At 44.6% G+C, this 21,147-nt stretch overlaps 1 protein-coding gene across 11 annotated transcripts in view, besides 2 other annotated features; it reads left to right on the forward strand.

Moving 5' to 3' along the window:
• Positions 1-2,491, forward strand: part of TRIO (trio Rho guanine nucleotide exchange factor) — a 366,863-nt gene extending 364,372 nt beyond the window's left edge. For all 11 annotated transcript variants that reach the window (NR_134469.2, XM_047417679.1, NM_007118.4 and 8 more), the window contains one exon: positions 167-2,491. Coding sequence is in view for 10 of the 11 variants with exons in the window: in XM_047417679.1 (XP_047273635.1) it covers positions 167-709 (543 nt within the window). In the remaining variant the exon portion in view is untranslated. The remainder of the gene's footprint in view (positions 1-166) is intronic.
• Positions 13,684-14,184: an enhancer, noted in NCBI's record as "H3K27ac hESC enhancer chr5:14521506-14522006 (GRCh37/hg19 assembly coordinates)". NCBI's record gives its function as "activates a minimal SCP1, AML or CMV promoter by ChIP-STARR-seq in primed H9 embryonic stem cells {active_cell/tissue: H9 hESC(primed)}" and the evidence as "EXISTENCE:reporter gene assay evidence [ECO:0000049][PMID:30033119]".
• Positions 14,185-14,685: an enhancer, noted in NCBI's record as "H3K27ac hESC enhancer chr5:14522007-14522507 (GRCh37/hg19 assembly coordinates)". NCBI's record gives its function as "activates a minimal SCP1, AML or CMV promoter by ChIP-STARR-seq in primed H9 embryonic stem cells {active_cell/tissue: H9 hESC(primed)}" and the evidence as "EXISTENCE:reporter gene assay evidence [ECO:0000049][PMID:30033119]".

The following is a 21,147-nucleotide window of genomic DNA, read 5'->3' on the forward strand; positions in this document are numbered from 1 at the left end:
CTCACCCTCGGCTGCCAGCTGAGTGGTCCGGCCTGCTTTGCACATGCATGGCTTGTCCTAGTTGACATCCTAGATTCCTTCCACCTCACCATAGAGTCCCGCCCATCATCACGAGTAAGCTTAAGATTGGATGGTCTGAAAATGACAGTTGTATTCTGATTTCCAGCCTGAGAATATCCTGGTGGATGAGAGTTTAGCCAAGCCAACCATCAAACTGGCTGACTTTGGAGATGCTGTTCAGCTCAACACGACCTACTACATCCACCAGTTACTGGGGAACCCTGAATTCGCAGCCCCTGAAATCATCCTCGGGAACCCTGTCTCCCTGACCTCGGATACGTGGAGTGTTGGAGTGCTCACATACGTACTTCTTAGTGGCGTGTCCCCCTTCCTGGATGACAGTGTGGAAGAGACCTGCCTGAACATTTGCCGCTTAGACTTTAGCTTCCCAGATGACTACTTTAAAGGAGTGAGCCAGAAGGCCAAGGAGTTCGTGTGCTTCCTCCTGCAGGAGGACCCCGCCAAGCGTCCCTCGGCTGCGCTGGCCCTCCAGGAGCAGTGGCTGCAGGCCGGCAACGGCAGAAGCACGGGCGTCCTCGACACGTCCAGACTGACTTCCTTCATTGAGCGGCGCAAACACCAGAATGATGTTCGACCTATCCGTAGCATTAAAAACTTTCTGCAGAGCAGGCTTCTGCCTAGAGTTTGACCTATCCAGAAGTTCTTTCTCATTCTCTTTCACCTGCCAATCAGCTGTTAATCTGAATTTTCAAGAGAAAACAAGCAAACATAACTGATCAGCTGCCGGTATGTTCATCGTGTGAAATTGCATTCCAAGTGAGCTGTGCTCAGCAGTGCTTGGACACAGAGCTGCAAGCTGCGCTGGGGTGGAGGACCGTCACTTACACTCTGCCCAAGGCAGAGGTCGCATTGCTGTATCACAGTATTTTATTCAGGTTTCTGCAAAAAAATAAAAAGATAACTTTTTTAAACAAACATGAATAGAATTTTGCAAATTTAACGTTTTCAAGATTTATTCAAGGAAACAAAATGCCTATGTTCAACCACTGGTGTTAATGAACAAAGATACTGTGCGTCTCTGGGGAAGACGCACCTAGGTGGCGGCCACTCCCATGGCCTTGTCTAGGACTCAGAGACCACTCGGCTCTGAGCTTCCAGGCGCCTCGTCTGTGTGCATCTCACGCCCGACGTGGCTTCTGAAACGTGCATTCAACCTCAAACTTTTGCATAAAATAGAATGAATCGTTTTGCTCTGATGAAATGTAGGCCTTACTTGTATATAAGACTGTTCCTGCCTTCGGTCTGTCATTTTCCCACCTGCCTCCCCTACCCACCCCCCACCCACCACCTGGGGCTTCCTCTGGGGGTCCGAGGGTCTTCCCATCACATGAAGACATCAGGTTGGGTCCTGCCCCACTGCCCCTCCCCCTGTTCCTGCCCCAAGCCGTCAATCAGATTGTGGAGCAGTACACAGTCAGATGAAAATACTGTAAATGCACTCATTGGGGGTTTTTTGGTTTTACTTCATATCATGTGCAATGTTGTGGCTTTAACATTTTATGCAACTATTTATGAAGACCTCTGTTGTACCTGTAATAAATATATAGAAAAAGCACATACTTCGTATGGTGAGCTTTATGGTTTTGTGTGTGTGTTGGGGTTGGCGGGTGGGTGGGTAGGGTCGTAGCCCTGTGCCATCGGTTCAAAGAGACTTTTCGTGAAATTTGTTGGTTTTGAGGACTGTAAAAGTGATTTCATACTCTGAATATAAAACTGGATAATAGGGTAATGTTTTAAAATTTATTATGCTATTATTCAGAATGCCAAAGTATTATTTTTTTTCCCAAAATCAGTCTGGACATTTACTACTTTTTAGACTTTTTGACGTTGAACTTTCTGTATAAAAATTGGCTGGGTTTTGAGCTTTTGGTAAGAAATAAAAGCCGATTAAGCACTGGCCGCCCCGCGGCTGGTACCCAATGCCCGAGTCACTGTGGCAGCATTCGCACTGGTGTGGGGAGTCCTTTCAACTCAAGGAGGCTGGGTTTCTGGGCACCCTCGAAGTTTTCTGGATGTCTTTTTATCTTTCTCGTGTGAACTGCACTACAAAAGAGACCAGCCCGCTTCCCAAGCCAGCCAGACACCTGGGTCTTGAGCCATAAACTGGCGTAGTTAAGCTTTGCAGCTTCCAGTGTATTTTATTTATTCTTTTGTTGGGTTTTTGTTTGTTTCTTCTTGTAAAATTGTACAGAAACTTTTTAAAAGAAATTGGATTCGAAACTGGATGTGTATTCGTAACCTCATAATTTTTATTTGTGTATTGTTTCTTTTATTATTTCAGTTAAATTTTTACATTATTTTGCATGTATATTTCTTTGTACAGAGACCTTACATGTTTACACAGTATGATGTGATGTAAATATTTTATTTTGCCATCAGTTATTTTAAAAAATTAAACATATTTGCCTGATTTTTGTGTTAGGCTTTTTATTTAAATTGGTCACTGTTGAATCAGAAAGACAGATGGCTGAGGGAGAGACTGATGCAGAGACTTCTCGTGGGCGGGAGGTGGCAGAATGTACTGGATTGAGAACCCTCTGTACACACTCAGAAATGGGAGTTGCTCAGCCTCCTGCAGACTGGTTCACAGACACCACACTCGAGACCCTGGTATGTGCCAGAATGTCGACTGACCGTGCACAGCGAGGCTGTAGCTTGTCCTGGTTAGAATAGCTAAGGCACCCTGTTGCCTGATGAACACAGAATTAAGCGAGGGAAGAGCTCGTTCATGCTGGCCTCAGAAAAGCAAAGGTAATGTCCAGATAGATTCAAGAAAATGAAACAGTTTCATTTGGTTGAGAATAAACCAAAGATCCTGCACCTGGGAGAAGACTCGCCAGTGGTGGCCCTGCCTCGGCCTCGGCCCTGGGCCCACCCAGTCCAAGGGGACTTGCAGCCAAGTGGCTTCCACAGCTCTGCCACCCTGCTGACAGTAGCTTATTTTTTCCAATGACCGTATCTTCTCTCTTGATTCTTTCTGGCTTTCCTTCTGGGCTGATGACTTTCATTGTTCAGCACACCATCAGTAACAGGTATTCTTTCTCATCTGTTTGCTGAAGTCCTGAATAGAAGGCTGACGTGAAAGGACACTTGTGCAGTCTCTAAGTCAGGACATGGGAAGCTAACTCCCTGAGGTGTGTGCCCGCCCAAGTCCCAGCGGTACCTATGGCTCGGTGGGCTCTGGAGGGGGCGGAAATTCAAGGTTGGTTCTAATCTACCTGCCCAGCACAGCATCCTGCCCCAGGGGAGTTGCCTGGCCCACCACAGTGCCACACCTGAGCAACACGAAGGAGGCGAGGGGTGTGTGGTGGTGTCCTTTAAATGGGACACTTGCTGAATGACCCAATGGAGTGGTTCTGCCTGTAAGATTAGCAGAACTCACTGTGCCCAGTGAAAGAGCCTCAGATGTTTGGTCTGTCATGATCATTAGATTTTTTTTTCTCAGATACCAAGATGTTTTACATTCTGCAAGTTATTCTAATATTTTAAATACTCGGATTTTCTTTAGCCCTAACAAGTCAGGGAAGTCAGTATTTTAGCAGAATTATGAACCTCATCTTAGAGGAAGCAATAATCTATTAGATTAGATTAGTTCTTTGATTACTGTAGCTATACAGTAAGTCTTGAAAGCAAGTAGACATCCCCCCCCACTTTATTTTTTTTCCAAATTGTTTCTGCTAATCTAGTTCCTTTGCCTTTATGAATTTTGGAATAGCCTTGTTTATAACTACAAATATTAGACCATCTTAGACCACTAGGAGGAAAGATCCTTTCTCCTGTACATTTTTGAGACAATTGTAGAGAAAGGAGTAATTCTTGGAACTAATCAATTCTCTCTCTCTCTCTCTCTCTCTCTCTCTCTCTCTCTCTCTCTCTCTCTCTCTATATATATATATATATATATATATATATATATATATATATATATATATATATTTTGAGACTGAGTCTCACTCTGTCACCCAGGCTGGAGTGCAGTGGCGTGATCTCGGCTCACTGCAAACTCCGCCTCCGGGGTTCACGCCATTCTCCTGCCTCAGCCTCCCGAGTAGCTGGGACTACGGGCATCCACCACCGCACCCAGCTAATTTTTTGTATTTTTTTTTTAGTAGAGATGGGGTTTCACAGTAGCCAGGATGGTCTTGATCTCCTGACCTCGTGATCTGCCTGCCTTGGCCTCCCAAAGTGCTGGGATTACAGGCTGTGAGCCACCGTGCCCGGCTATATTATATTTATTTATGTGAAATTTAACTTACAGAAAATACATACGTCAATAAATTTTTATACATGTATATATCTGTGATCACCACCCAAAGCAAACTATAAAACGTTTCTGTTATCCATTATCCTCCCCCCCAGGAGGGTCTGTCTCACCCCTTCCCAGTCAATCTCTCCCTCCCAAGGTAATCACTGTTCTGATTTCTATCATTCATAGATATGTTTGCCTTTTAAGTAAAACTCATATATTACATGCTTTTTTAAAGTAGGTTGTACCTTTTATTTTGAGGCCATTGTAGATTCACATCCAATTGTTATGAAATGTACCCTTAGGCTGGGTGTGGTGGCTCACGCCTGTAATCCCAGCACTTTGGGAGGCCAAGGTAGGCAGATCACCTGAGGTTAGGAGTTCAAGACCAGCCTGACCAACATGGAGAAACTCTGTCTCTACTAAAAATACAAAAAATTAGCCGGGCTTGGTAGTACATACCTGTAATTCCAGCTACTCAGGGGGCCGAGGCAGGAGAATCGCTTGAACCCAGGAGGCGGAGGTTGCGGTGAGCCAAGATCGCACCACTGCACTCCAGCCTGGGCAAGAAGAGCAAAACTCCATCTCAAAAAAAAAAAAAAAAAAAAGAAATGTACCCTTTGCCTGTGATAACATACACGATCGTACATCATCACAACCAGGATACTGACACTAACACTGTCAAGATGCAGAATATTTCCACGACTACCAGGGCCCTCCTGTTGCCCTTTTATGGCCACACTTACTTCCCTTCTGCCACCACACCCTTCTTTAACCCCTGCCAACCACTTACATGTGCTCCATTTCTATAACTTTGGCACGTTGAGAATGTTATTTAAACGAAATCACACAGTATGTAGCCTTTTGAAACAGGTGTTTTCTACGAGCATCATTATCTGGAAATTAATCCAGATTGTTGTATCAAGAGGTTTTTTTTTCTTTTTATTACTGAGTAGTAGTTCACAGTGTGGATGGGCCACAACTGAACCATTCACCCATTGAAGGACATCTGAGGTTTTTTTTAGCTTTGGGTTGTTAAGAAATAGTTTGCATGAACATTCATTGTACAGATTTTCATATGAACATAAGTTTTCATTTCTCTGGGATAAGACAATTGGAAGATCATATTGTAGTCACATATTACATGTTTTAGGGTGCTGCCAAACTGTTTCCTAGACCCGTGGTCCCCAACCTTTTTGGCGCCAGGGACCAACCAGTTTTGTGGAAGACAGTTTTTCCATGGATGGGGAAGGAGTGGGGGGATGGTTTCGGGATGAAACTGTCCCACCTCACATTATCAGGCATTAGATTCTCATGAGCGTGCAACCTGGATCCCTCGCATACACAGTTCACAGTAGGGTTTGCATTCCTATGAGATTCTAACGCCCAGGCTGATCTGACAGGAGGCGGAGCTCAGGCAGTAATACAAGCAATAGGGAGTGGCTGTAAATACAGAAGAAGCTTCACTCATCGCCTGCCGCTCCCCTCCTGCTGTGTGGCCTGGTTCCCAACAGACTGCGGACCAGTAATTTTTACGGATCAGTACTGGTCCACGGCCTGGGGTTGGGGACCCCTGTTCTAGACTGTACCATTTCACATTCCCACCAGCAACGTATGCGTAATCCAGTTTCTTTGTCTCCTTACCAGCATTTGGTGGTGTCACTTTTTTAATGTGGCCAAACTGACAAGCGTGAAGTGATATCTTATTGTGGTTTTAATTTGTATTTCCCTGTTGGCGAATGATGTTGAATCTCTTTTCATGTGCTTATATGCACATCTTTATATTCTCTTCCCTGAAATGTCTCATCACATCTTTGGCCCATTTTCTTGTTGGATTGTTTGGTTTTTACTCGTTGAGTTCTGAGTGTTTGTTACATATTCTAGATACTAGTCCTTTGTCAGAGATATGGTTTGCAGATGTTCTCTCCTACTCTGTAGTGTCTTTTCTTCATCTTAACAGGATCTTTCACAGAGAAAAATTTTGATGAAGTCCGATTTAATACTTTTGCCTTTTATGGATCAAGCTTTTGGTGTCAAGTCTAAGAACTCTACCTAGTTCTATATTAAAGATTTTTTCCCTAAGCTGCTTTTCCTAACAGTTTTTAAGTTTCACGTTTTACACTTTAGTCTATGATTCATTTTGAGCTAATTTTTATATGAAGTGTAAGGTTTAGGCTGAGGGTTTTGTTGTTTGCATATGGATGTCCAATTGTTACAGCAACATTTGTTTTAAAAAGGCTTCCTTTTGGCTGGCTGCGGTGGCTCACGCCTGTAATCCCAGCACTTTGGGAAGCCAAGGTGGGCAGATCATGAAGTCAGGAGATTGAGACCATCCTGGCTAACACGGTAAAACCCCATCTCTACTAAAAATACAAAAAATTAGCTGGCCATAGTGGTGCATGCCTGTAGTCCCAGCTACGCGGGAGGCTGAGGCAGGAGAATCGCTTGAACCGGGGAGGTGGAGGTTGCAGTGAGCCGAGAGTGCTCCACTGCACTCCAGCCTGGGTGACAGAGCAAGACTCCATCTCAAAAAAAAAAAAAAAACTTCCTTTTTATATTTTGTCAAAAATCAGCTGGGACTATTTATGTAGGCCTATTCCTGGTTTCTCTACTCTGTTCCATTGATCTATTTATCCCTCCACCAATATCACACACACAGTCTTGATTACTGTAGCTATATAGTAAGTCTTGAAAGCAAGTAGACATCCCCCCACTTTATTTTTTTTCAAAATTGTTTCTGCTAATCTAGTTCCTTTGCCTTTATAAATTTTACAATAGCCTTATTTATATCTACAAAATATCTTTCTGAGATTTTTATATGCATTGCATTAAATCTGTGTATCCATCTGGGGAGACCTGACATCTTTACTATGTTGACCCTTCCAATCCATGAATAGGGTATGTCTCCATTTATTCATATTTCCCTTGATTTCTTTCATCAGTAGTTCTACAAGTTCATATATTGTATATGTTTTATTAGAATTCTGCCTAAGTACTTCTTCTTTTAAACAATTATAAATATTTATTTTGAATTTTGGTGTGCATGCATTTATTGCTACTATATAGAAATACAGAATACAGTTGATTTTTGAATGCTCATCTCTTATCCCACATATTTGCTGAACTGAATTACTAGTTCTGAGTATTTTTTGTAGATTCTTTTTGGATTTTCCTTTTTCTTTTTTTTTTTTTTTTTTTTTTTTTTTTTTTTTTTTTTAGAGATAGAGTCTTGCTCTTGTCACCCAGGCTGGAGCGCAGTGGCATGATCTAAGCTCACTCAGCCTCTGCCTCCCGGGTTCAAGTGATTCTCATGCCTTAGCCTCCCCAGTAGCTGGGATTAAAGGTGTGCACCACCACGCCCAGCTAATTTTTTTATATTTTTAGTGAAACAGGGTTTCACCATTTTAGCCAGGCTGGTCTCAAACTCCTGACCTCAGGTGATCCTCCCACCTTGGCCTCCCAAAGTGCTGGGATTACAGGCATGAGCCACCGCACCCAGCCAACTTAGTATTTTTTGACTTTGCAAAGGGTTTATTGGAGCATTAAATGCATTTTCAACTTATAATGTTTTTGACGTACTGTGTTTACCGGGATGTAACCGCATCATAAGTTGAGGAGCATTTGTATTTTCTCCGCATACATTTAGAAACACATCACACAATGTTGTATGTTTTCACCTCAACCATCAAACTTAATTTAGAAAACTAAAGAGGAAAAAGAAAATGTATTTACCCATACATTTCCTCTTTCCATTGTTCTCTCGTCCTGATTTTCTGAGATTGATTCCTTTATCCTTTCCTTTCTACTTAGAGAACTTACTCTAGTCATTCTTTTAAGGCAGTCCTCCTAGCAACAAATTCTCTTAGTGTTCCTTCCTCTGAGAGCATCTTGACTCCCCCTTCATTTTTGAAGGATATATTTTGCTGGGTATAAAATTCTGACAGTTGTAGGGGAGGCAGAGATTACCTCCAATCCTCCCTCTCCTTTTAGCTGTTAGTGAACTCTTCAGCTGGCTCTAGAAACCACATTGACACCAGGAAGATTAACAAGACAAAAGTATACAAATTTTATTAGTTTTACATATATGTGAGGACTTTTGCAAGAGAGTTAAGTCCAAAGATATGGCCAAAGCAAGATGCTTTTATACTTTTTAGACAAAGAATGATAAATTTGAGAAGAAATGACAGACAGGATAAAGAAAATCTGGGCTGGGCATCGTGATTCATGCCTGTAAGTCCAGCACTTTGGGAGGTTGAGGCAAGAGGATGACTTGAGGCCAAGAGTCCGAGACCAGCCTGAGCAACATAGCAAGACCCCATCTCTAAATATATATATATATATAAGCTGTGTGTTGGCACATGTCTTGTTCCTAGCTTCTTGGGAGGCTGTGGTGGGAGGATCACTTGAGCCCAGGTGCTCAAGGCTATAGTAAGGTATCTTAACCTCCTGACCTCAGGTGATCCACCCACCTTGGCATACCAAAGTGCTGGGATTTCAGGCATGGCCACCATGCCCAGGCTTTTTTTTTTTTTTTTTTTTCCTGAGATGGAGTCTTGCTCTGTCGCCTGAGCTGGAGTGCAGTGGCAGATCTTGAAGGCTGTGGTGAACTAGGATTGCACCACTGTGCTCCAGCCTGGGTGACAGAGCAAGACCCTGTCTCAAAAAGAAAATCTGGTAGAGGCAGTAAATTTTCTAGGGGAGTCGCTAGGAGATATATGTGGAGGGGTATGGGTATAAGACAGGTGGAAGGTGACGGTTACTTCATTAAGTATGTTTATTCAGGTTCCTTGCAGCCTCCAATTCCAAGCCTCTATTGATAAGGGCTATTTTCTTGCTCTGGCATGGTGACTGTACCCCTCCCAGAGGAATCTTTATGGCTTACTACATGCAGAAAGAGAAAGATCAGCTCGTCCTTTCTGAAACTACGATCCCTCCAATAACAAAGAGGATGGAGAGTCTTGTTACTGTTCAGCAGAGGTGAAAGTTCTGCTTCCCCCATTTGGGCTTCTCTAACACCACGTTGGCAGAGGTGCCCCATTACAGCTGGGTGGGGGTGGAAGTCTGGGCTCTGCACTAGTCTTTGCTGGTGGGGTGAAGGTGGGAGCCACTGTTTTTTCTGTGATGAGTGGCTGGAGAAGAGCAGTTAATGTCTAAAGGTTTTCTGTCCTGCAGGCTGCCCCTTTCCTGTGCTCTTGTCTGAAGAGAGTAAGGTTTTGTTGGGACCTTTTCTGTCTGCAGCTATGGCATTTCCACATTGCTGGCTTCTTTAGCTCCATGTCTGGGATACATGAGGCAAAAAGAAATCCCAGGGAACCCACCATCCTTAGGATTCCTCATTCCTGAAGCCCCACACGAGTCTGCTGTCTTCACCTTGCAGAGTCTTCTTATGTTTGTTTCATAGGTAACATCGAGCTGTTTCCTGTAGGTAGTGGGAAGAATAGGAGAGAATATGTCTGCTCCATTTCCCAGAAGCAGAAATCCAGTATCAGTGCTTCTTTTTCTATTTGCTAGTTTTAGGATTATGTGACGTTGGTTTCCTGAGATAGGTATAAAACAACTGCTTGATCTTATTTTCAAAAGGGATCAATTGTATCAGTTATAGAAAGGGGAACCTACACAACCAATAACTGTCAGAATGTAAGCTCTTTGCACATTTCACTGTCTTGTACATTTTCTGCAGATTCATTTCTTGCCGACGTCTTACTTAACTACCAGTAGTAATATTCTTCTACTATTCCACAGTAACCGAACCAGAATATCCAGAAAAAGGTAACTGATGACAGATGGTAAGTAAGAGACTGGCCAGGCTACAAGAGCCATTGGCCTGGGCAGGCTCTAACCACTCATTGCAGAGCGGTTCATGAGGCAGGATCAGAGGGGATGCAAAGGCCAGAGGGGAAAAGAATGGACCCAAATAACTTCTGAAAGATGGGATTCAATGAATTGTCTAACAGAAGTTCTGAAAGAACCAAAGAAAGCAAAGAGAGAGCAGGCTTTCCAGGCAGTGAGCGCAGGTTAGGTCCAGGTGTCAATTGCTCTGGCAACGGCAAATGGTGGCGGAGGACAGCATAATTCTCATGTAATTTGAAGCAACAGAACATTTGCTTCCACGAATATCTTTCTCCATTGGCCATTTCTTATTTACAATTCAAAAATTGTACCAGGGTTTCTCTTTCAGGATGTGTCCGCCATCCTATTGAAGTTCAGGGGCTTGCATTCGGGACTGCTGAGATTCCCAGAGCATTTTCCTGCTCTAGGAAAGTTAGACGGTTTGCAAGGCAAAGTCTCTTGTGAAAGTCCAAGAAGAGTAGAGGCTTTAAAACTAGTTGCCTCGTTTATAATTACTGCATATTTAATAGAAAACATATGCCTGTCTGCTCCATTTTTGAAGGTTAGAAACCTCTTTTACTCAGCTTTATCCAATCCATCCATTTCTTTATGATTACATTTTTAAACTTTTATTTTAGGTTCAGGGATTCATGTGCAGGTTTGTTAATACAGGCAAACTCGTGTCAGGTGGGGTTTGTTGTACAGACCATTTCGCCTCCCAGGTACTAAGCATAGTACCCAATAGTTATTTTTCCTGATCCTCTCCCTCCTCCCACCCTTCTCCCTCAAGTAGGCGCCAGTGTTTGTTCAAATTCCCTCTTTGTGCCCATTGGCTCTCATTATTTTGCTCCCACTTATAAGTGAGAACATGCGGTATTTGGTTTTCTGTTCCTGGGTTAGTTTGCAAAGAATATGGCCTCCAGCTCCACCCATGTTCCTGCAAAAGACACGATCTTATTCTTTTTTACGGCTGCATAGTATTCCATGGTATATATGTACCATATTATCTTTATCCAATCTGTCATTGGTGGGCATTTAGCTTGAGTCCATGTCTTTGCTATTGTGAATAGTGCTGGAGTGAACATTCACGTGCATGTGTCTTTATGGTAGAACAATTTATATTCCTCTGGGTAAACACCCAGTAAATGGGGTTGCTGCGTCGAGTGGTAGTTCTGTTTTTTAGTTATTTGAGGAATCGCCAAACTGCTTTCCACAGTGTTTGAACTAATTTAGACTAATTTACACTCCCACCAACAGTGTATAAATGTTCCCTTGTCTCCACAGCCTCACCAGCACCTGTTATTTATTGATTTTTTATTTTTTTTTTTTGAGACACAGTCTCGCTCTGTCGCCCAGGCTGGAATGCAGTGGTGCGATCTCGGCTCCCTGCAACCTCCACTTCCTGGGTTGAAGCGATTCTCCTGCCTCAGCCTCCTGAGTAGCTGGGACTACAGGCGTGTGCCACCACACCCGGCTAATTTTTGTATTTTTAGTAGAGATGGGGTTTCACCATGTTGGCCAGGCTGGTCTCGAACTCCTGACCTCAGGCAATCTGCCCATCTCGGCCTCCCAAAGTGCTGGGATTACAAGCATGAGCCACCATGCCCAGACTATTTATTGACTTTTTAATAATGGCTATTCTGACTGGTGTGAGATAGGATCTCATTGTGGTTTTAATTTGCATTTCTCTAATGATTAGTGATATTGAGCATTTTTTCATATGCTTGTTGGCCGCATATATGCCTTCTTTTGAAAAGTATTCTGTCTTTTGCCCACTTTTTAATGACGTCGTTTGGTTTTGGTTTGTACATTTGTTTAATTTCCTTATAGATTCTGGATGTTTATTAGACCTTTGCCAGGTCTGCTATATATTAGCACAGTTTGCAAATATTTGTATAGTTTGCAAATATTTTCTTCCATTGTGTAGGTTGTCTGTTTACTCTGCTGATAGTTTCTTTTGCTGTGCAGAAACTCTTTAGTTTAATTAAATCCCATTTGTCAGTTTTTGCTTTTGTTGCCATTGCTTTTGGCATCTTTGTCATGAAATCTTTGCCAGTTCCTGTGATCAGAATGGCATTTTCTAGGTTGTCTCCCAGAGTTTTTATAGTTTTAGGTTTTACATTTGGGTCTTAAATCCATCTTGAGTTAATTTTTCTATATGCTATAAGGAAGGGGTCCAGTTTCAATCTTCTGCATATGGCGAGCCCATTATCCCAGCACCATTTATTGAATAGGGAGTCCTTCCCCATTGCTTGTTTTTGTCAGTTTTGTCAAAGATCAGATGGTTGTAGGTGTGTGGCTTTATTTCTGGGCTCTCTATTCTGTTCCACTGGCCTTTATGACTACATTTATCTTCTATTCATGTGCATCTACAGGAAAGTGTATGTCAGAACAAGTGGCATTAAAACAGGCTTCCGAGACACGCCCTGTTGATAATTTGAGAATTGCCTACACTGCTGGATTGTTAAGATATGCTAATGACCTGGTTTCCATATTTATTTATAAATGTTTACACCAAAAGAGAAAAGATGCAAAGTATCACTTTTTTTTTGCAAACATGAAAATTATCTCCAGCACTAAGCTCTCCCAAGCAGTTATCACAGGGGGTAATCCAAAGGCATGAGAATGTCAGTGTTCCTTGATTTCCTTTCTCAATTTTATGGCCGAATGCACAAAATAGGAAACAGACATGAGAGGAGGCCTTAGAACGGTGCAGGTGTGACTGGGCATGGTGGCTCATGCCTGTACTCCCAGCACTTGGGAGACTGAGGCGGGCGGACCACCTGAGGTCAGGAGTTTGAGACCAGCCTGGCCAACATGGTGAAACCCCGTCTCTACTAAAAATATAAAAATTAGCTGGGCATGGTGGCGGGCGCCTGTAATCCCAGCTACTTGGAGGCTGAGGCACGAGAATCACTTGAACCTAGGAGGCAGAGGTTGCCGTGAGCCAAGATTGCACCACTGCACTCCAGCCTAGGCAATAGAGTGAGACTCTGTCTCAAAAAAAAAAAAAAAAAAAAAAAAGAACTGCAACGGCACAGGTGTTGATTCACTTTCCGGTACTCTCTGGAGCACTCTATATTTCTTTGAGACCTCTTCTCCCCTGGGACTTCCTTAGGCAGAAACCCTTGGTCGCCTTCTCTAACAACATGAGCTCCTTCCCTAGGTGACCTCAGCTGGTCTGGTGCCTTTGTATTTGCATTAGTTGCCTGTGGAACTGTTACAAATCACCACAAATGTGGTGGCTTAAAACAAAAGAAACTCCCTAACAGATGTGGAGGCCAGTACCCAAAATCAGTATCAGGAGGCAGAAAGCAAGGTGTCTGCACAGCCATGGCCCCCAACTCCCTTCCTCTTTCAGTGCCCGGTAGCTGCTGTGGCTCCTTGCCATGTGGCCACATCAGGTCAGTCTTCAAGGCCAGCATCTTCAGTCTCCCTCTGTTCCTCTTCACATTGTCTTCTGTGTTAAATTCCCCTCTGACTCCCTCCTCTAAGGACACTTGTGATGACATTTAGGGCCTAGCCGGATAGTCCAGTGTCATCTCCCTGTCTCGAGATCCTTACACACATCCACAGACTCTTTCTTGCCACAGAAGGTAAGTAACCTTCACGGGTTCCAGGGACTCGGCTGTGGATATCTTCTGGGGCCTCCCAAGCCATCTCTGTGCCAACAATTCCTAACTCGATGGCTCTAGCACACGCTCCTGTGCTCCAGGTCACTACCTGCTCTACATGGACGTCCCAAATGCTACTCTCCTGATTCCCAGAGGGCAGCCATTTACCCAGATGCTGGGCCAGAAATTTAGTAGCCATCGTCTTGCCTCTCCCCTACCTTCTGCCTTTCATCCAGCTCTAGGTCCACCTTCAAAACGACCCCTTCCCCACACCTCCACACTCCAGGGCCCCATGTGTCTGCAGAAGCGTCTGACTGGGCTCCCTTCTCCCACTTCTGCACATTTTCACTCCGTTACCCACTCAGCAGCAGGGTCAGCATGAGAAAGGGGAAACTAGATCACGTCCCTTTCTGCCTAAACCTCATGGGGCCCAGCGTGGCTGCGAGGACCCCAGCGGGGCCCTGAGGATGTGGCTGTGCTGTGCCTGCCCCGCCCCATGTGTTCTCTCCTCAGTCATCCACTTTACACTGCTGTCTCCTCTCCACGTGATCCCCTGTCTACCCAGACACCCTGCACCCCCAGTCTTGACCCAACCGCCTCCTTATCCTTCGATGTTCCTTATCCTCAAATGTCCTTGAAACAAAGGCCCCCCTGACTCCTCACCCCCAAGGAGCGCCCCTTTAGTCTCTCTGACAATCCCCCTCTTTACCTGAGTTGCATTCCCTACTTTCAGTGATGCGTTTGTGGCTTGCTAGTTTCCTGTCTGTGTCCCTCCTAGACTATAAGCTCCATGAGGGAAGGAATCTTGCTTGTCATACTTATCACTCTTCCCAGCACCTCTTGCCCAATAGATGATGACTCCCTCACAGCTTCAAGAAGCCCACAGTATGAAAGGAGAACTTTTTTGTTTGGTTGGTTTTTTTTTTTTTGAGAGGGAGTCTTGCTCTGTCACCCAGGCTGGAGTGCAGTGGCACAATCTTGGCTCACTGCAACCTCTGCCTCCTGGGTTCAAGCAATTCTCCTGCCTCACCCTCCCAAGTAGCTGGAATTACAAGCGCCTGCCACCACAGCCAGCTAATTTTTGTATTTTTAGTAGAGATGGGGTTTCAACATGTTGGCCAGGCTGGTCTCGAAGTCCTGACCTCAAGTGATCCACCTGCCTCAGCCTCCCAAAGTGCTGGGATTACAGATGTGAGCCACCAAGCTGGCTGAAAGGAGGTTTTAAAGGAGCCTACAGAGGAATGTACCAATGGCCAAGCAGCAAATGTTAGTGCATAATCAATAAGGTCTCTTCTTGTGGGTTCCTCTGCCCTTCTTGAGACCCCATGACATCCTTCCTGGGCACTCAGCCTGAGCTCCACGATTTCCCAGAAACTCCTTTTGTCCACCTGGACTCCTTCAGTCCTGTCCTTTCATCCACCTGGGGCAGAGCTCTTCATCTGTTGTCTGCCCCGGACTCTTTCAGGTGGTCAGGGGCCATGGGGGACCCAGCAGAGACAGGGCAGGCTGACCCCATCAGGGATAGAAGACAATAATTCCTGCTCTGCCTCTGTGCTCAGTTCCCAACACACAGATACATACATCTGAATACCCACTGCTGCCAAAGGGAAATGCATTTCATTCCATATTTTTAAAGTGAATGAATGAATGGAGTCCACTGTTAGAAATGAAATTTTAAAATGACCATATGGAGGAATGTACCAACTGGCCAAACACCAAAAGTTAGTTATTAATATACAAAATCCTTTCTTGGATGGTGGGGGTGAGGGGTGCAGGGATTGCCACCTGTCAATCAGGGTCCTTTTGGAAACAGATGGCCCACTCACCTTGGGGAAGTTGAGAGTTTTAGAAAGGGCCATTGAAAGGTATGGACAGGGATATCAGGGTTGGCTCCTCCCATGTGCTGAGGGCAATACATTTTATAATCCTCCCTTCCTCCCTCCCTCCGTCCCTCCCTCCTTCCTCCTGCTGGTGCTCCCATTGGCCAATTCCAACCAAAAGCCAGAGGACAGGAGAGTCCCTTGATGAAGCCCTCAGATTTCAGCCTCTACGGCAGGGAGAGGTACGCAGAGTGCATCTGAGGGACACCAGGAAAACAGGAAAGAGCAGACAGATGCAAGTATGACACCTATTAGAATAACCGCATCCAGAACCCTGATACCACCAGACGCTGGTGAGAATGTGGAGCCACGGGCACTCTCACCCATTGCTGGTGGAAATGCAAAAGGGTACCGTCACTTTGGAAGACAGTTTGGCAGTTTCCTACCAAACTAAACATACTCTTACCGTACAATCCAGCAATCACCCTCCTTAGTATTTACCCAAAGGAGCTGAAAGCTTATGTCCACACAACCTGCACATGAATGTTTATAGACTTTATTCTAGTTGCCAAAACTTAGAAGCAACCAAGATGTCCTTCAGTGAGTAAATGAATAAATCAACTGTAGTACATCCAGACTCCAGACAATGAAATATTATTTGGCACTAAAAAGAAATCAGCGTCAAGTCCAGGCGCAGTGGCACACGCCTATAATCCCGACACTTTGGGAGGCCAAGACGGGTGGATCACCTCAGGTTAGGAGTTTGAGACGAGCCTGGCCAAAATGGTGAAACCCCGTCTCTACTAAAAATACAAAGATTAACTGGGTGTGGTTGCACGCGCCTGTCGTCCCAACTACTCAGGAGGCTGAGGCAGGAGAATCACTTGAACCCAGGAGGTGGAGGCTGCAGTGAGCTAAGATCGTGCCACTGCACTCCAGCCTGGGCGACAGAGTGAGACACTGTCTTAAAAACAAACAAACAAAAGAGATGAGCTATCAAGGAAGGAAACTTACTATTACTAAGAAAAAAAAGCAATCTGATAAGCCTACATATTGTATGATTCCAACTATATGACACTCTGGGAAAAGCAACACTGTGGGGATAGTACAGGGGTCAGTGATTGCCTGGGCTGGGGGGATGGAAGGGTGAATGGACAGAGGACAGGATTTTCAGGACGGTGAAACTACTCTGTAAGATACTATAATGATGATTATGCTTAACGTTGTACATTTGTCAATTTGTCATTATACATTTGTCAAAAACCATAGAATGTACAACACCAAGAGTGAACCCTAATGTAAGCTATGAACTTTGAGTGATAACGATGTGTTAACGTAGGTTTATTGATTCTAATAAATGTGCCTCTCTGGTGTTGCATGTCGACCATGGGGGAGGCCGTGCATGTCGGGGAGAGGGCAGGGAGCATTTGGAAATTCTCTGTATATTCTGCTCAATTTTGCTGCTCTAAAAAATAGTCTTGTCCAGGCGCAGTGGCTCACACCTGTAATCTCAGCAATTTGGGAGGCTGAGGCAGGCAGATCACTTGAGGTCAGGAGTTCGAGACCAGCCTGGCCAATATGGTGAAACCTTGTCTCCACTAAAAATACAAAAATTAGCCGGGCATGGTGGCAGGCACCTGTAATCCCAGCTACTCAAGAGGCTCAGGCAGGAGAATCGCTTGATCCCGGAAGGCGGAGGCTGCAGTGAGTCAAGATGGCGCCACTGCACTCCAGCATAGGCGACAGAGCGAGACACCATCTCAAAAAAATATAAATAAATAAATAAATAAATAAATACATAAAATCTCTTTTTAGAAAAAAATAATGCAAGCATGAGCATATTGGATCCCAGAAATAGCAAGCAAAAGTAGAAACAGACGGCACTCCAAAGCTCTTCACGATGCAAAGTCAGGGAATTCTACTAAATGGAATGATCCTCTGTGCCTGTAATTCTTACCCGGATACAGTTCTAGGCCACGTTCATCTTAGTTCTGGGAGCGGCCCTCTCTCTCCAAGCTTCCTGAAACTGATGAAAACTCCACAAAGGGCTGCCAGGACTGGCACAGCAGGCATAGCCTCCCTCTCCTTCCCCCTGGGGCTCACCTTAAAGCCCACAGCACCTCCTTGTTCAATGCCAGTTCCTTCCTGCCTCATCCTTCTTCCCATGGCTAGGCCAGTATGAGTCCAGCACAGGGTGTCTGTCCCCAGGAGCTGCGGGGCCTCTGCTCTCTCTGTGCCAGCGCACACCAGCCTCTGCCCCAGGCTGCAACCCACCCCTCCGTGATCCCTTGCACTTCACACCCGGAGGCCTATTTCAGACCCAACTCCAGCAAAGCCCAGCCAAGACAAACTTTTTCAATGGAAAAAGAAGACAAACTTCAGCAGGCTGAGTTCAAACCTGTGGTTCACAAAGACTTCCACCCACCTCCCCCTAGCTGGCTAGAAAGGGCATTCCAGGTCCTTTGACTTCAGCAGATGTAGACCTCTGGGAAAATCTCCCCCATCCCTATATCATTGCTTGAACAGGACAGTTTGTTCACAGCTCCCAGTTTCCCTTGGGACCACAACCCAGCTTAGAAGTTGGGATCTGCTGTGCTCTGCTGAGGTGGAAGAATCATGGGTCTTGTACTCATCCTAACCCTGCCAGTAAACCTCCTGAAACTGCCTTCCAAGAGTCAGAGCAGCCCCAGCCATGTATCACATGTTGATCCTGCAGGCACAGTGGTTCTGTAGGTTGTTTTTAATGAGGATACCAGCTTTGAATGTTGTATTTGTGTTTGCGTTTTATTACTTTTTTTTTTTTTTTTGAGATGGAGTCTCACTCTGTCACCCAGGCTGGAGTACAATGGCAAGATCTTGGCTCACTGCAACCTCCACCACCCGGGTTCAAGAGATTCTCCTGCCTCAGCCTCCCAAGTAGCTGGGATTACAGGTGCACACCACCACACCTGGCTAATTTTTGTATTTTTAGTAAAGACGGAGTTTCACCATGTTGGCCAGGCTGGTCTCAACCTCCTGACCTCAGGTGATCCGACCGCCTCGGCCTCCCAAAGTGCTGGGATTACATCCGTGAGCCACCATACCCGGCCTGTTTGTTACTTGCTTCTATGAGTAATCTAAAATTCTTAAATGTTTGCTTTAAAAATCGCCATGTTTGAAAAAAGATTTTTTATAGAGCTAGTCATTGTTTTGCAGGTGCTGGGAAATAAGAGCATGAGTTTATTAATTTTAAAAAATTAAGATCCATAACACCAAATGGAAAAGACCATCTCCTTGCAGTGGGATCCACATGCATTTTAATACATAACACTGCCCTTCCCTTTGACATGGCATTCAGGAGAACCAATCTGTCCTAGCATCAACTTTAGTTGGCTTTTGGTCTTTTGCCAGGAAGGCTGGCAGTCATCTCTTAGTTAAATGACTGATATTATCCAGGCCATGAGTGAAGACAATGCCTGGAATATAAGCAAATTAATTCCAAGAAAAAAAAGCTTGAGCAAATAGCTTCAGTTTCTAAAACAGACCTGGAAATAAGTTTTCATCCATTAGAAGTTTCCGGCACCTACTCTTTTCTAGCCTCGTCTCACCCCAGGGGGAAATTTTTGCTCGCTCCACCCAGCAATAATCACCCAGCAATAGTCACAGTGATTGAGCTCTGCTCCATGATCGGGACAGATCCTGGGCTTGACGTTGGGGACAGTGGCATTAATGTCCTAACTCTGGGCAAGAATTTCCAACTCCCTAGCATTGATTTCCTATTTGCTCCTCACATCCCAAAGTGCTCCCAAGTTTGCTTGCCAGGCAAATCTAAAGATGTTTCTATAGAATAATTTTTTTTCTTTTTTTGAGATGGAGTCTCACTCTGTCGCCCAGGCTGGAGTGCAGTGGCATGATCTCGGCTCACTGCAACCTCCGCCTCCTGGGTTCAAGTGATTCTCCTGCCTCAGCCTCCTGAGTAACTGGTACTACAGGCTCACGCCACCACACCCAGCTAATTTTTCTATTTTAGTGGAGACGAGGTTTCACCATGTTGGCCAGGATGGTCTCGATCTCTTGACCTCGTGATCTGCGTGCCTCGGCCTCCCAAAGTGCTGGGATTATAGGCGTGAGTCACTGCGCCCGGCCTATAGAATAATTTCTAAGAAGGACTGAGACGTTGAGGCTAAGGAAATATCATGAAATATCTTCTCTGTCAGTGATTCCTGGTGTTCCAAGGCAGTCGTGTTTTAAGGAGGGTGAGTAAGCCCAAACTAAGGAATATATTGCTCATTTTAACCAAAACATGTTTTAAGTCAATAGAAATGATAATCGTGAAGGCAACGCTTTTGGGAGTAGTAGCTAGGGTACTTCATAAAAGAAAACTGGCTCAATTCTAATAATGTTTTTAAGAAATAAAATACCTAGGAAAATATAACAAAAACATAAAGTGTAATCTAACAAAAGTGTAAGAGCTCTTCACTAAAAACTACAACATGTTGTTGAAAACAAAAATTGTTTTTTTTTTTTTGAGATAGAATCTCACACTGTTGCCCAGGCTGGAGTGCAATGGCACGATCTCCACTCACTGCAACCTCCGCCTCCCATGTTCAAGCAATTCTTCTGCCTCAGCCTCCCAAGTAGCTGGGATTACAGGTGCGTGCCACCATGCCTGGCTAATTTTTTCTATTTTTAGTAGAGACAGGGTTTCACTATGTTGGCCAGGCTGGTCTCAAACTCCTGACCTCGTGATCTGCCCGCCTCAGCCTCCCAAAGTGCTGGGATTACAGACGTGAGCCACTACGCCCAGCTGAGAAATTTTTAAAGTATTAAATAAATGGAGGGAAATACTGTGTTCATAGATTGAATGGCTCGATGTTATAAAGATGTCAAATCTCCTTAAATTCACCTACAGACTCAACACAATTGCAATCAAAACCCTCACAGGATTTCTTGTGGAAATTGGCAAGCTGATTCTAAAATTGAACGGAAATGCAAAGAGCATGAAAAGCCAAAGCAATCTTGAAGAACAATGAAGCTGGAAGCAATTATATAACCAGTTATCAAGACCTATTATAAACTTTCAGTCATCAGGACATGGCGTTGATACAAGGACAGACAACCCCATGGGACAGCATAATTTGTCTTTGTTTTTTTCCGGGTTGTATTAAAATTTATTTATTTATTTTTAGAGACGGGGTCTCTGTCGCCCAGGCTGGAGTGCAGTGGCATGATCTTGGCTCACTGCCACCTCTGCCTCCTGGGTTCAAGCCATTCTCCTGCCTCAACCTCCTGAGTAGCTGGGATTATAGGCACCCGCCGCCACGCCTGGGTAATTTTTTGTATTTTTAGTAGAGTCAGGGTTTCACCATATTGGTCAGGCTGGTCTCAAACTCTTGACCTCAAGTGATCCACCTGCCTCAGCCTCCCAAAGTGCTGGGATTACAGGCATGAGCCACTGTGCCCAGCCCAGGTTGTATTAGAATTTAAAGAAGTCATGATTGCTTGGAAGAAGATCCTAGAATTAACATCACCCTGCAAATGACTGCCACTTGGAAGAAAGGCCTGGGCTGCAGCCATA

This window comes from Homo sapiens, chromosome 5 (assembly GCF_000001405.40).
Source record: "Homo sapiens chromosome 5, GRCh38.p14 Primary Assembly".
Lineage (NCBI taxonomy): Eukaryota > Metazoa > Chordata > Mammalia > Primates > Hominidae > Homo > Homo sapiens.